At 51.4% G+C, this 15,407-nt stretch overlaps 1 protein-coding gene and 1 long non-coding RNA gene across 8 annotated transcripts in view, besides 2 other annotated features; both read right to left on the bottom strand.

Annotated features, from left to right (window-relative positions):
* Positions 1-15,407, bottom strand: part of SYNJ2 (synaptojanin 2) — a 117,881-nt gene that overhangs the window by 86,500 nt on the left and 15,974 nt on the right. The window lies entirely within an intron of this gene.
* Positions 3,108-3,247: an enhancer, noted in NCBI's record as "active region_25345". NCBI's record gives its function as "activates an Ori minimal core promoter by ATAC-STARR-seq in GM12878 lymphoblastoid cells {active_cell/tissue: GM12878}" and the evidence as "EXISTENCE:reporter gene assay evidence [ECO:0000049][PMID:35858748]".
* Positions 10,294-11,570, bottom strand: SYNJ2-IT1 (SYNJ2 intronic transcript 1). Its single transcript, NR_046796.1, has 3 exons — positions 11,302-11,570; positions 10,976-11,095; positions 10,294-10,503 (listed from the first exon to the last, which is right to left on the bottom strand). It is a non-coding gene; the product is annotated as an SYNJ2 intronic transcript 1 (long non-coding RNA).
* Positions 12,743-13,242: an enhancer, noted in NCBI's record as "H3K4me1 hESC enhancer chr6:158420467-158420966 (GRCh37/hg19 assembly coordinates)". NCBI's record gives its function as "activates a minimal SCP1, AML or CMV promoter by ChIP-STARR-seq in naive H9 embryonic stem cells {active_cell/tissue: H9 hESC(naive)}" and the evidence as "EXISTENCE:reporter gene assay evidence [ECO:0000049][PMID:30033119]".

The following is a 15,407-nucleotide window of genomic DNA, read 5'->3' as shown; positions in this document are numbered from 1 at the left end:
AATGACTACAAACACAGTGGCTTAAGCAGCACAGACTCATGACCTTACAGCTCTGCACTCAAAATTCTGAAATGGATTTCGCTGAGCTGAAAGGAAGGTGTCGGCAGGTCTGCATCTGCTCCGAAGGCTGCAGGACAGAATCCATTTCCTTGTCTCTTGCAGCTCCCAGAGGCTGCCTGGATTCCTTGGCTCTCGGCTCCTTCCTTCCTCTTCAAATTCAGCAATCGCGGCAATCGGATCCCTCTTCCATCCTCACATTTCCTTCCCTCTCCCTGCCTGGCCTCCCTCTTCCAGCTTTTAAGGACCCTGTGAGTGCGATGGACTCATCCAGATCATCCAGGATAATGTCTCCTCTCAAGGTCCTGATCACATCTGCAAAGTCCTCCTGCCATGTAAGTGCCACATTCACAGCCTGGGAAGGAGGATGTGGGCCTTCCAGCCCACAGGTCTCCTGCCTCTGCTCACACACTGATGAAGGGTGAGGAGAAGGAAGAGGCATCCTCTCCCCCAGCATCTGCTTGGGTGCAATGACAAACCCACTGGTGAGACACTCGGACTCTGTCATGCACCTACAGGGCCCTCCTGGGAGGTGGCCTATGAAACCCCAACTTCACAGGCAGAAACAAAGGCTGTGTGCATTGCCAAATGTCTTCCCCCAGCCTTCAGGTACTGCAGACAGGGCTGCAGAGAGGTAAATCAGCAGTTCTCAGTGCCCCATCTCAGTAGATAAACTGATAAATGCAATAAAATAATTCCGACACCAAAAATACCTATTTCAACCCTAGCAGCTTTACAAAGCCTTGAAACAGAACCCGTATGCCCTGGTATGATCCAGTTCTGACTTTGTGAACCACGAAACAAGGAGGCCTTTGTGCATTCATTCAACTATGCAAATAAGCCTGACCAAATAAAACAAAATGACAGGAAATTGCTAAACAAAGTGTTGTGGCCAAATCCACACTTGAGGGGTGGGAAGATGACCCTGGGAGAAGCTATGCAAACAAAACCGACCCCTTGCCCTGGTGCATTACAGATGACAGGCGTGGACTTCACATCCCGGCCACTGGGAAAATTAAGCACAAGTAAAAACACGACTTTCTATCCTCATATTTTAAAAACAAACAAACAAAACCCAACAGGACCACCTTGTCCCATTCCAATACTGTCAATTATTGACCCCTTGAGAAAAACAGCTTTACCTCTGACTTATACAATGCAGGAGCTCAAAACAGGCCTTGACCATGGTGGACAGGAACATCATGAGAAGATGTTTCTCCACCATGAACAGACTCACTGTAAACAAACTGGGAGGCCCCAGGCAGCAGAACTTCATTCTCTTCTGGGTCCAGAGGCCAGAGAGCTGAAATCCAGGCATCAGCAGGGCTCCTCTGATACCTGGAGCCGGGGACCTCCTTACCTGGCCCTGTGTCTTGTGTTTGCTGCTTGTTCTGTCCTTGGCGTTCCTTGGCTTATGACTTCCTCACTCCAGTCCCTTCCTCCGTCGTCGCGTGGCAATTCTCTCCCAATATGTCCCCTCGTTGTTATGTGGTCATCCTCTCCCCGCGTGGTGTCCCCCAATTGTCATGTGGCCATCCTCTCCTCACGTGTCCCCCCACCATTATGTGGCCATTCTCTCTCCATGTGTCCCCCCACCATTATGTGGCCATTCTCTCCCCACATGTCCTCCCATCATCACGTGGCCATCCCCTCCCCACATGTCCTGTCGTCCCAAGGCCATCCTCTCCCCATGTGTCCCCTGTCATCACGAGGCCATCCTCTTTTGGCATTCCCCCGTTGTCACGAGGCCATCCTCTCCTGACATCCCCCTGTTGTCACGTGGCCATCCTCTCCCAACATGTCCCCCCCATCATCACGTGGCCATCCTCTCCCCACATGTCCCTCCATTGTCACATGTACATCTTCTTAGAACAGCAGTCACACTGGATTAAGGGCCCACCCTACTCCAGTATAATCTCATCTCAGCGTTACAACTGCAACAACCCTATCTCCAAATAAGATCCCCTTCTGAGGTCCCGGGGGTTAGGCTTCAACATATCCTTTTGGAGGACACAATTCAGCCCAAACACTTGGTCATCTTTTCACTTGGTGGGCCCGTCCTTTTAAAGCCTGACTGCCCCATTGACCGTCTCTCCAGTAAGCTTCCTCTCTTCCTGCAGTGCCTTCACCTCCAAGTCCTCCCCCGACCCTTCTGATGTATCAGGAGCATGCACCCCACCCCAGAAGGCAGGGGCCTGGCAGCCTCACTGCCCACCTCCAGCACTCCCAGAGGCCTGGCTTCCCAGGAGGCCGGTTCCAGAGTCACCCCGCACCCTACTTGCCCCCAAACAACTGTATTTTCTCAATTATGTTTGAAGGAAGAAGAAATCCTTTTTGCTTTCCAAAATGGGGGTGACAACACAGATGTCTACACACACCAGGAAGGTAGCAAATGAAGCTAGCCAGGCATGGTGGCTCGCACCTGTAATCCTAGCACTTTGGGAGGCCAAGGCAGGAGGATTGCTTCAGCCCAGGAGTTCAAGACCAGCCTGGGCAACACAGGGAGACTCCATCCCTACAAAAATTCTTTTAAAAAGTAACCAGGCATGGTGGTGGGAACCTGTGGTCCCAGCTACTTGGGAGGCTGAGATAGCAGGATTGCTTGAGCCCAGGAGGTCAAGACTGCAGTGAGCTGTGATTGTACCACTACCCTGTCTCAAAAACAAATAAACAACAACAACAAAATGAAGCTGCTGGAAGGGCTTTGGGTGAGCAGAGAACACACACCTGCCATTAGCTGGTGGGCAGCTGCTGCAGGTGCCAGTCATGCTCACCAGCCCAGTGGTGCCAGGCTGCAGTGTTTCCAGGAGACAGGGCACTCCAGACCTTCCAGTGCTGGCAACCATCTCCATTTATTTTAAGCACTGCGTGGGCTGGAAGCACACCTCTGCAGACTGAATTTGGCCTGCCCATTTGCAACTTCCATCCCCCCTTTCTTGATAATCTCAGAAATACACAGACTTCCTGTCTCCCACGCTTTTAGTTGCATTTCCTGTAAGTTTTCCTACACGAGAATGTCTTTGCTTCCCCTTTGGCTGGCCACGAATTTCTGGCCTTTTGAGGAAAGCCCTCCCTTCTACCTCCTCAGCCCCCTTCCTCGACTCCTCTTGCCAGATTTTTAGCCGCCGGCTCTGTGGACACATCTTCGTGCCTTCTGTGGCTGGCACCCTTCCAGGGACAGAGACACTGCAGTGAACCAAACAGATGGAAACCATCCAGCATTTGGCAGTGGCCAAGAGGAACAGGAGGAATGAATGGATGAGTGATGGCAGGGGGTGCAGACCAAGATGGGGTGGGAGGCTGGGGTGGGGGCACTGCCGAGGCACAGCCAGGAAGAGGCGGGCGCTGCTCAAGCTTCCTGCCAGGATAGATAAGATCAATCAGTGCAATATAGACAGTGACAGGCGCGGAGCAGAAAAAGTGAGCAGGGAGTAGGGTATGAATAGTGGGGAAGGGGAAGTGACATTTTAGATGGTGTTGTCTGAGAAGGCCTCATTGCAAGGGTGACATCTGAATGCGGACCTGAAGGAAGCCAGGGAGATGGCTGCATGGAGAGTGGAGGAGCACTGTAGGCCCAGAAGGGCACGTGCAAAGGTCCTGCGGCAGAAGCACTCCTGACCAGTGCAAGCCCCAGCGAGGCGGGCAGTGTGACTGAAGGTTCATGGAGGAAGTGGCGTGGGGAACACACTGCACAGAAGTTTGAGGTCACAGAAAGGTTTTGGGTGTCACTCTGAATGCCACTGCAGGGGTCTGGGGATCATCCTGGCTGCTCTGTTGAGAACTGACTCTAGAGGAACAAGGAGAGAAGGAAGGAGACCAGTTAGGAGGTGCTAGCGCCACCTGGGCAAGAGAGGACTCTAGCCTGAGCCAGGGCGCAGCAATGGAAGAGCTGAAGAGTTCTGGAGACAGACAGACAGACAGACACACATACACACGTGCTTTTTAGTTGCGGAACTTTCCAAAGAAAAGTAGGGTGACATAATAAACCCTTGTACCTTCATTACCACGTACCCACCAACTCCACCTTCTCCCAGCCCACGCCCAGGCTACTCACTCTCCTATACCTTAGATCAGCTCAACTCAAAATGGGCTCCTCACACCAGCAGCACCAAGCATTAGAAATACAAGTTACGGGGCCCACCCCAGGCCTTGTGAATCAGAAGCTCTGGGCTCAAGACCTAGAAAGCTGTTTTAATGAGCCCTCCAGGGGACTTGAATGCATGCCAAAGCTTGAGAAGCACTGCCCTAGGTTATTGTGAGTAAATTCCAGGCATCACATTATTTCATCTGTAAATATTTCAGTAAGACTCTGGAAAAGATAAGAGCTCTTTTAAAAAACACAACCATGGCCAGACGTGGTGGCTCATGCCTGTAATCCCAGCACTTTGGGAGGCCAAGGGGAATGGATCACCTGAGGTCAGGAGTTCAAGACCAGCCTGGCCAACATGGTGAAACCCCATGTTGCTCTCCACAATGGAGGTGACAAAGCAGATGTCTACACACACCAGGCAGATAACAAATGAAACTAGCTAGGCATGGTATCTCCCTCCCTGTAATCCCAGCACTTTAGGAGGCTAGGGCAGGAGGACTGGTTGAGCCCAGGAGTTCAAGACAAGACTGGGCAACACAGTGAGACTCCATCCCTATAAAAATTTTTAAAGAAATTAGCCAGGCGTGGTGGTGGGAGCCTGTGGTCCCAGCTATTTGGGAGGCTGAGACAGGAGGATTGCTTGAGCCCAAGAGGTCAAGACTACAGTGAGCTGTGATCACACCACTACCCTGTTTTTAGTCTCTACTAAAAATATAAAAATTAGCCAGGTGAGGTGGTGCATGCCTGTAACTCCAGCTACTCAGGAGGCTGAGGCAGGAAAATTGCTTAAACCTGGGAGGCGGAGGTTGCAGGGAGCCATGGTCACGCCACTGCACTCCAGCCTGCGTGACAAGAGCGAAACTCCGTCTAAAACAAAAACAAAAACAAAACACAACCACAATACCATTATCACATCTAAAAAAGTTACCAGCAATTCCTCAACATCATCACATATCTGGGTATATTTTGAAGGTGGAACCATGGACAGATTGGTTATGGGATATGAGAGAAAGACAGGGTTCAAGGATGATGCCATGTTCATTGCCTGAACAATGGAAGGGATGGAGTGGCCCTGGCGTGACAGCAAAGAGTGAGAGGACAGGTCTGGGCAGAGCATCTGCTGGGACCAGACATGCCGTGGCTCTGTTGCAGCCCTGCGTGGAGGCTGACGACAGAGCTCTGCAAGTCTGGAGTCCAGCAGAGAAATCTGGTTGGAAAGATCCCCCAGGCGTCCCAGCAGACAGAGTTATTTACAATCATGGGGCCGGGTGTGGGGGCTCCTGCCTCTAATCCCAGCACTTTGGGAGGCTGAGATGGGAGGATCACTTGAGCTCAGGAGTTCGAGAACAACCTGGACAACATAGGGAGACTCCATCTCTAAAAATATAATAAAAAATATTAGTCGGGCAAGGTGTGCACACTTGTGGTCTCAGCTTCTTGGGAGGCTGAGGTGAGAGGATCATCTGAACCTGGGAGGTGGAGGCTGCAGTTAGCCATGATTGCGCCACTGCAATCCAGCCTGGTTGACAGAGTGAGACACTGTCTCAAAAATAAACAGATCGGTGCCATGGCTCATGCCTGTAATCCCAGCACTTTGGGAGGCTGAGGTGAGTGCATCACCTGAGGTTTAGGAGTTCGAGACCAGCCTGGCCAGCATGGTGAAACCCCACCTCCACTAAAAATACAAAATTTAGCTGGGTGTGGTGGCATGCGCCTGTAATCACAGCTACTTGGGAGGCTGAGGCAGGAGAATCACTTGAACCCAGGAGGCGAAGGTTGCAGTGAGCCGAGATCGCACCACTGCACTCCAGCCAGGGCGACAGAGTGAGACTCCGTCTCAAACAACAACAAAAATTAGCTGGGAGTGTGGCGTGCACCTGTAATCCCAGCAATAAAATAAAATAATCATGAGGTTGGAGGGGATCCCCTAGGGAGTGAGTGGAGGGCACCGACTTCTGGGTGCAGCATGTTTGAAGGTCAGGGTGGACTGAGAAGTGACCAAGAAGATACAAGAAAACCCAGCAGTGCGTGGCATCCTGGCGGCCAGGAGAAGAAAGCGTTTCAAGGAAGCAAGAGCAGTCAGCAGGTCAGAGGCTGCTTCTGCATCTATAATTTGAGGACTGAGAATTTGTCACTTTAGTCAGACTTTGGCAGCTCAGAGAGGAACAGTTTCAGTAAAGTTGAGGGGCAAAAACCTGAATGGGGAGGGAGAGAGAAAATGGACACAGTGGCAACAGATGATTCTCTGAGGAATTTCCTGTGTGTGCATGCATTGTGTGCATGGATCGTGCGTGTGTGCATACGTGTGTGCGCATGTGTGTGCGTGTGCATATGTGCATGTGTGCGTGTGGCAAGCAGAGAAATGGAGAGGCTGCTGGAGAGGAAAGTGGGTCAAAAGATTTCCTTAGGCCAGGGGCATTTATACCAAGTTTTGTGCTGGCAGAAATGAGCCAGGAGAGAGGCGAGGATTGATGCAGCTGAGAGAGAGGTCAGGACCAATGCAGCCAAGAGAGAGGTCAGGACGGATGTGGCAGGAGCAGGGAGCTCCGAAAGCCATGCCCTGGAGCAGGCCATGGGCATCTGCACACAGGTAGCACTGGCCTGAAACGTAGACAGTGCACTGCGGGGAGCAGGTGGGAAGGGGGACAGACATGGTGGGCGGGTAGTGGTGGTGCAGGGAGCCAGCGGGAATTCTCTTCCAGTGGCTTCAAATTTTGGGGTGGAATGAGAGGACGAGGCCATCAGCTGAAAGTGAGGATGGGGAGGAGGCACAGCAGAGCTGAGGAAAGGGGAGGGTGGAGTTGCCATCTGGGAGGGTGGGGGAGTGGACAGAGCACAGAAACGCAAGTGAAAGGCCCACCTTGGCTCAGGGGTTGTGACCTGATGGTACGCTCTGCCCGTGTGGTAGTGGGGCATCTCCAGAAACTTCTACTGCACAGCGGCTGGTGCAGGCGTGGAGTGCAGGATGTAACCAGGGCTGAGGTTTCACCAGGTGGGGAGGACCCAGCAAGAGAAGGGCGGGTGGGGAGGGTGAGTGCAAGGCAGGGCTGGTCACTGACATGGCAAAGAGGGAAGGTGTGAGACAGACGAGGGGCTATGAGAAGGCCATGGGTTCTAAGGGTCGCCATCCCAGTGGGGTCAAAGATCACTGGGGGCCGGGCGTGGTGGCTCACGCCTCTAATCCCAGCACTTTGGAAGGCCAAGGTGGGTGGATCACGAGGTCAGGAGATTGAGACCATCCTGGCTAACATGGTGAAACCCCATCTCTATTAAAAATACAAAAAATTAGCCGGGCGTCGTTGCGGGCACCTGTAGTCCCAGCTACTAGGGAGGCTGAGGCAGGAGAATGGCGTGAACCTGGGAGGCGGAGCTTGCAGTGAGCCGAGATCGCGCCACTGCACTCCAGCCTGGGCGACAGAGCAAGACTGTCTCAAAAAAAAAAAAAAAAAATAGTCACTGGGACTGGGAATTGCAGGATGAGTGACAAGGTGAAAGTGGAGAAAGAAGAGTGGGATGTTTGAGACAGATGCTGGAGGGGTCAGGGGCGTGGCATGGGAGCGAGTGGCTGCAGGGGTGGGGTCACTCACTGGAGGAGAGGGGGCGAAGGTCCTCCGAAGGATCAACGACGTGGCCACTGAAGACACCAAGAACAAGCGCCAGACTCATAGTGAGAAATGACAGCGAGAAAGAGGGAAAACTCACCAAGGAACCATGCAACTGCCGAAACGAGGGGCAGTGAGGGACGCAGTCTCGTGGTGTTACTGGAAAGGGGTCCCGATCCAGACCCCGAGAGAGAGTTCTTAGATCTCATGCAAGAGAGAATTCAGAGCAAGTCCATGAAGTGAAAGCAAGTTTATTAGGAAAGTAAAGGAATAAAAGAATGGCTACTCTATAGGCAGGGCAGCAGTATGAGCTGCTGGTTGCCCATTTTTATGATTATTTCTGGATTATATGCTAAATAAGGGGTGGATTATTCATTTCTGGGAAAGGGGTAGGCAATTCCCAGGAACTGAGGGTTCTTCCCCTTTTTAGAGGATATAGGGTAACTTCCTGATTTTGCCATGGCATTTGTAAACTGTCATGGTGCTGGTGCGAGTGTCTCTTAGCATGCTAATACATTATAATTAGCATATAATGAGCAGTGAGTATGGCCAGACGTCACTTTCATTGCCATCTTGGTTTTGGTGGGTTTTGGCCGGCTTCTGTACCACAACCTGTTTTAGCAGTAAGGCCTTTATGACCTGTATCTTGTGCTGACCTCTTATCTCATCCTGTGGCTAAGAATGCCTAACCTCCTGGGAATGCAGCCCAGCAGGTCTCAGATCCATTTGACCCAGCCCCTATTCAAGATGGAGTCGCTCTGGTTCATACGCCTCTGACAATGGCGTGTGGGGTCAAGGGTTAACTGAGCTGGTTCCCTTTCGGCAAGGTAATTTGATCGTGGGTTGACTTTCTAGTCCTGTTTCCCTGGTAACCTGAGAAAGTTGTCTATGCTACTCGAACAACATGGCTTATGATAAAAATAAATAATGATGGGGCTTGTGGAGGCTTAAGGAATAGGCTTATCCTTGGAGGAGGCTGGGGAACTCCCCGTCTCCAGCTCCAGTGGTCCAAGGGTGTGGAAGAGAAACAGCCACCACTTGAGAGGCTCCCAAGGAAACTGTGGTTTGTCCCACAGCACAGCAAATGTGGCTCATGGATTCTGGGTCCCAAAACAGAGCTCCGTGGGTCAGACCATCCCGAGGCAGAGGCTGGTCTCAGTGGGAGCAGCCGTGCACGGCTCTGCGTGAGAGCTCTGGTCACCCAGAGCCAGTCCAGCTCAGTAACCAAGCAAACCACATGCTCTTCTTTCTTGAATAATATTTTCCACAATAACACGCCTTAAGGAAATGCCAACGAAGCCCGGCCCACAGGTCAGAAAAATAATGAGGTCATTTAACAATGCAGACAGCCCGAGACTGAGGTAGCATTTGTGGCCACATTCTTGGACATGACATGAAACCATCTTCTTGTATTTCAGGGTCTCAAGAGGCCAAAGTCTCCTTCATGTGTTAATTCGGAGCTCAGTTCTGACTGGCTGGTGGCTGCTCCTTCCAGAGTTATCAGTTTTGGAGCTGAAGCAGCTCTTCAGAAAGACAGTGGTTTTCCCAAGACAGAGCAAGGCTGCAGCTGGTTGCTAAGCAAAGGGGGATCAAAACATCTGTCTGAAACAGAAGCTGCGAGCCAAGACAAAGCCAACTGGCAGACACACATCAGCCCGCTAAAGGACTCTCCTGTCCTCCCACTGCTGCTCCCTCACCAAAAAGTCCAGGCCACATGAAAGAGCCACGGAGTGAGGGGACACTCAGAACACATCACCCTCAGCAAATGCACTACCTCCCACCAACGCCATGCCCACATCACAACCCAGCCAGAGAAAATACAAGAAAGTTTGGTTTCCCGCAGTCAGAGCCAGAAACCCATCTGTGGGGAGGGTGGGTCCTCCCCCTTTCCCAGCACTTTCCACACCCCTCCCTGCACTGAGCTGTGGCCAAAGAGGGAGGCCAGCTCCCCTAACAAGAGGGCTTGAGCACAGGACTGGCCACTGAGTCTTTGTAGTTGAGTTTTTTCCCTTAAAAATAAGAAATCCAGGAAAACAGTTTGCACCTTAAAAAGCCAGGCCCAGTGCCACATATGCCTCGGGCAGAGCCAGTGACAGGGCCCAGCACAATGGGCAGTTCCTTACACTTCAGGATGAGGCAGAACAGGCAGGGCTGGGCTGTGTTTTCACTGGGCCTGGTAGCCCCAACCCTCCTACCCAACAGGGAACAAGAAAGAAGCACAAAAATACCCATTTCTCTCCAAGTGTGTGCACCTTCTCTTTTGACAAGAGGGAGGGGTGGAGCAATGTTTCCTAGCCACCAGGGAAGTCCTGGAGTGGGGCTTCCATGCTGCACTGCCTTGCACAATCACCCCTAATTTAGGTCCTAACAAATTAGGTCCTGCGGCTGCAGGTTCTGATCCTGGCTACTTTTCCAGTTTCTTCACTCACTTCTTCCTGAACCTGCCAAACCAGTTCCTCAGTTCCTCCCCAGCTCTTCTTCCTCTCTCAGGTGATTCCTCTTGGGAAGGCTCCTCCCACCTCAGGGCCGCCTCCCTATTTCCACATGAACATGAACACATTCACACATACTCCTCTAGAAGCCATGTGGTGCGACCCACGTATGCCTCCTTGTGCTACATGAGATCCAGGAAGGAGCACAGCTTTGGGAACTGAGGGAGCCTGAGCAGGGAAGCCACGCACCCTGTCACACTTCAATTTCACCACTCAGCAAAGGGTCTAGATGCCCACTGTGTGCCAGGCATGGTTCTAGGCTCTGGAGAAAAACAGGCAGTGAGGAAGCAATATGATGAGAACAGAGCGTAAGACAAGCCAAGCGAAGAAAATGCTTCATCTGTGGGATGCTGTTGGATGGAAGACTGAGCAGCCAGAAGGTCCTGGAGGCCTTGAGGAAAGGTTTCAGAAGAGTGGGAGGACACAGCCTGGCTGGAGTCACTTCAAGGGAGACTGGGAAGAGGGAAGGTGTGTAGACAACCTCGTCACATGGGAAAACCAAGAGATGAGGTGGAGGCCAGGGTCAAGAGAGGGTTTCTTAATGTGAGCTAAGACAGCCTGTTGGTATAATGGTGCAAATGACCGAGTTAGGAAGGAAAGGGGGAAACTGCGGGAGCGAGGTCTTAAAAGATGAGAGGGGTCAAGGTCACTGGGAGGGGGGACAAGCCTGGGAGGCTGTCCACTGTACCAGAGCCAGGGAGTAGGTGTGGGGGCTGTTGAAAGTTCTTAGCTACCTTTGGCTGGGCGCGGTGGCTCATGCCTGTAATCCCAGCACTTTGGGAGGCCGAGGTGGGCGGCTCACGAGGTCAGAAGATCGAGACCAGCCTGGCCAACATGATGAAACCCCGTCCCTACTAAAAATACAAGACAATTAGCCGGGCGTGGTGGCGGGCGCCTGTAGTCCCAGCTACTTGGGAGGCTGAGGCAGGAGAAATCGCTTGAACCCGGGAGGTGGAGGTTGCAGTGAGCCGAGATCGTGCCATTGCACTCCAGCCTGGGGAACAAGAGCCAGGCTCCATCTCAAAAAAAAAAAAAAAAAAAAAAGAAAGTTCTCAGTTACCTTCATTTTCCCAGTGAAATAGGAAGCAAAATCATCAGGTGTGAGGGGGATGAGATGTGAAAGGCTTGAGGAGATGTGAAATAGTCATCCTGGAGGCCAGATGGCTGGGGAAATGCAGGAAGATTTTTTGATTCCACACAGCCCTGGAAATCTATGAAGTCTCACAGAACAGTCAAGATGGCTGTGTTTTTCTCCGGCCACATTCAGCAACACAAGTGCATGCAGGGTGCAGAGGAGGGCGGGAGAGGGCTAGAGTCACTAAGAGCTGGGGATACCGCGGACAGGTGTGCAGGAGAGGGAACGGGGCAGAGAGGACGGCAAGTGAGAGGCCAACAGAGCAGGCGGGTGAGGCTCTCTGTGACCTCACCCAGACAGGGACAGAGGAGGGGTAGAGAGACCCAGTGAGCAGGGAACTCTGCTCCTTAATGAATGGAGAGGTGTGGTCAAGGAGGAAGATGGATTCCAGATGGTTCCTCCTACGGAGGGAAGAGGAGCTGTGGCCCAAAGGAGCACCACGAGACAGGGACAGGGTGTCTACCCCGCCTCCACCATCACTCCCAAGGACAGCAGAGTGGTCTCAAGAGAAGGCCCAGCTTGGGGGGAGTGCGTGCTGTAAGGGAAGTGTTCAAAGAAGAGGCCGACCACAGTGCGGTGCGGGTAGGTCAGGGGTGGCGGGGGTTGTGTTTACTGAAGACAGTTCCAGAAGGCTAGGGGGTCGGCGGGGAGAGTTGATCAACTTACTAAAAGTCAGCTCCTACTCCATATTTCAATCCAGAATCCAGAAAACAGGCCAGAATTCATTTTTCAGGACTTTCTGATTTATTTGTTGTTGTTTGGTGAGAAAATGAGCATGGGTTAGGGACCCACTGGGACCTGTTTTCTCACCTGGGTTAGAGGGGCTATGAGACGGCCTACTGAGCCCCAGGCTCTCAGGAGCCTCTGAACACCAGGACATGTGGTCCAAGAAAGATGAAGGAACAAACAGCCAAATCCAGCTCTGAGTAAACACACTGATTCTGCTTCCTTATTCACAGCCCCACAGGTGGCACATCTCAGGCACATATGGTTTGTGACTCTCCGGCCTTCTCCATACATGTCTGCTCTTACGTACAGAGGCCCTGTCTGTCTCTAGGAGAAAACATCATGCTATTTTTTACAAAAGGGCAGAAGAAACCTTCTCAAGTGACGCTAGTTACCGTCATTCCGTGGATCTGGAAACAGCTTCCTCCACTTTACCAATGGTTTTCTGTACCTAGAATTAGCTCCTGCCTCAAAAAAAAAAAAAAAAAAAAAAAAAAAAAAAAAAAAAAAGCCTTTTGGCTTGGTGAGAACCTGGCCCCAGAATCTTAATCACATCATCGCCAGGATTCCCAAACTGCATGCCGAGGTGCACTCCTGGACCATAAGCTGTTGTGCTGTGTGCTGTCAACCAAAGGTCAAACATGTGTGAAAAACACTGGCCTGAGCAGGGCTTGAAATCTGTCATCCACTAACCGGAGCTGCACGGCTCGAAAGAGAACAGGTCTCCCAGTCACCTGCACATCACAGCTTTCTGCTCTAGGGCCCCTCCTTGGGGAAGCCTGCTTCACAGAACAAACACTACCTGCCCGGGATGCCTGCCCTGACTCCTGCCAGGGGCTTCCTTGCCCTCCCAAACCCTGGCCTTTAGAAGCAGGATGCCTTACCCACCACCTGCCCCAATTTCTGAACACCATGGCCCCCTTACTACCTCTTGCCACTCTGGGTCCTGCACCAGGCTGTTGTCCGCCTCTAGCACCTGAGCCCCACCTGGATGTTCGCAGCCCTGAGCTTGGCTCCCTGGGCCTGTGTCTCAAGGTCTCAGCTGGAAGCTACACAGGGGTGCTCCCTAGAGGGCAGGCTCAATCTGGGCTTGTCTGGAAGCCCATAGGGCTGGCTCAGAGCCTGTACAGAGACAACCAAACATCCCATGGGAAAAAGGTCAGCAGGCTAAGGGGAGGGAGACAGGTGCCAGGGCATGGCCATGAAGCCAGGAGCTGGGGTAACTGAGCAGAGTGCGCTGCCTGCCACCTGGGGCCTGAGCTCCATGCCTGAATCACAGGGGGAGATGGCAAGAGAGTGGGGCTGGAGACGGGGCAAGCAGCCCTCACCCACCCAACAGTGACCATGTGCAAATGGCCGTGCTGGGCAGAGCCGGCCACACTGGCTCCATTGTTTTGGCCATTTGTATTTTTCCTTTGGAGAATTGCTCATTATATCCTTTGCCAATTTCTCTGTTGAACTATTTGTCCTTCCTTCTTCATGATCTATAGGAGTTCTTTTATATGCTATGATCATCCATCTTTGGCCTTTTTCTATGTTACAAAAGGCTGCACAAACTTTCCTTCTGGGCTGTTGCTTGTCTTTTCACTACGTTTATGGTGTCTTTTGATATATTGGAGTTTTCCATTTTTATGTAGTCAAATCTATCATTCGGACACAGGGGGAATGGGAGGCAGGGGCCTGGGATGCAAACGTTCTCTCTCCAGATCTGCGTGCTGGCTATGTGGGTGTGTTCACCGGGTGAAGATTCATGGAGCTCAACGCTTCGAGTGTTCATTTTTCTCTATGTATGTTACACTTCAATAAAAATATTTCCCATATCTGTCAGGTTTATTTCCTTTATGACTTCTGAGTTTGATGCTTTCCTTAGAACATCTTTCCATGCCGTAACACTGTGAAAGCATAGCCTATATTTTCTAATACTTTGAAAGTTGTTTTTTTACACTTAAATACCTCTGCATTTATTTTAATGTATGATAAAACATAGGACTCTCACTTAGTGTCCATATGGATAGTTTTGGTCACAGGCTTAGCAAAATCTTTCTTCCCTTCTGTATGAGAATTTAATGTTTAATTATCTAGCTCTGGTTCCCTGGGAACCCCAATCAAGATGGAACGTCAACTCTGTTACTAGACAACATTGCTCATGGTAAAAATGACCTTGATTGGCAAATTGCCTCTGGACAGGGAAGACCCATAAGTGAATTATAACCACTCGGTGAAGAAGCCAGGCATGGGGCTTCCTTAGGTGTGGTAACTCTTGTAACATGGAATGTCCCCTGTGTGAACCCAGGGCTCTGTAAGGCTGGTAATTTTATAAGGGATTCTGGCTCCTTGGGGACCCAGGGCTTTCAGCTGGGGGAGGAGCTAGTGACCAGAAGGACACCTGTGTGTGCAGCCACCTGCAAAAACTGCCAGGAAGACCCCTCGCTCCCCTGGAAGCAGAGCAGCAGGCAGCATCCTGCTGGCCAGCCAAGGTTTCCAGCCTATTCCTCTCTGAGCAGACCGGCCAAGAATGCCTGCGTGAATATCCAGTTGAATAGAGCAGGGGCCTCTTAGGCACTGCACTGATCAACCACACCAACAGCAGGTGCTGAGTATCCACCCTTACCTTTCTCTGACCGACTGAAGTCATCACCTTTATAAGAAACAAAGTAACACTGCTCACACAAGTCTGTTCTGAGCCTTCCACTCTACTGTGTTGATTTGTGCTGACAGCCTCCACGATGGTTAGGGCTTTATAATATGTTGTGCTACCTGGTAAATCAGTCTGCCTTTGTGGATCCTTTTCAAAATCTTGGCTATTTTTTTTGCCAATGCTTCGTCATTCAACAGTGTTTGCCAAGCCTCATTTCCACACGAGGCAGTGTTAAGGTAAGGTACTGAACGAGATACACAATGCCCCTGTATTAGTTGCCTGGGTTGCTGTAACAAAGAACCACAGAACGGGGGGCTTGAAACAACAGCAAATTTATTGTCTCACAGTTCTGGAGGCCAGAAATCCAAGATCAAGGCGTGGGTAGGAGCATCTTCCCTTGCTTTTCCCAGCTTCCGGTAGCCCAGGCATTCCTTGTCTTGCGGCAGTGTCACTCCCATCTCTGCCTCCATTGTCATATGGCTGTCTTCCCTGTATGCCTTCACATGACATTCTCCCCTCTGCGTGCGTCTGCCTGTGTCCCTTTTCTTCTTATAAGCACGCCAGTCACATTGGATTAAAGGCCCACCCTATACCAGTACGATCCCATCTTAACTTACATCTTCATTGCATCTGCAAAGACCCTATTTCCAAATAAGATTGCAAGGTA

Source organism: Homo sapiens, chromosome 6 (genome assembly GCF_000001405.40).
Source record: "Homo sapiens chromosome 6, GRCh38.p14 Primary Assembly".
In the NCBI taxonomy this organism is placed as follows: Eukaryota; Metazoa; Chordata; class Mammalia; order Primates; family Hominidae; genus Homo; species Homo sapiens.
The sequence above is the reverse complement of the archived record's forward strand: the minus strand, read 5'-3'. Positions and strand labels throughout refer to the sequence as shown.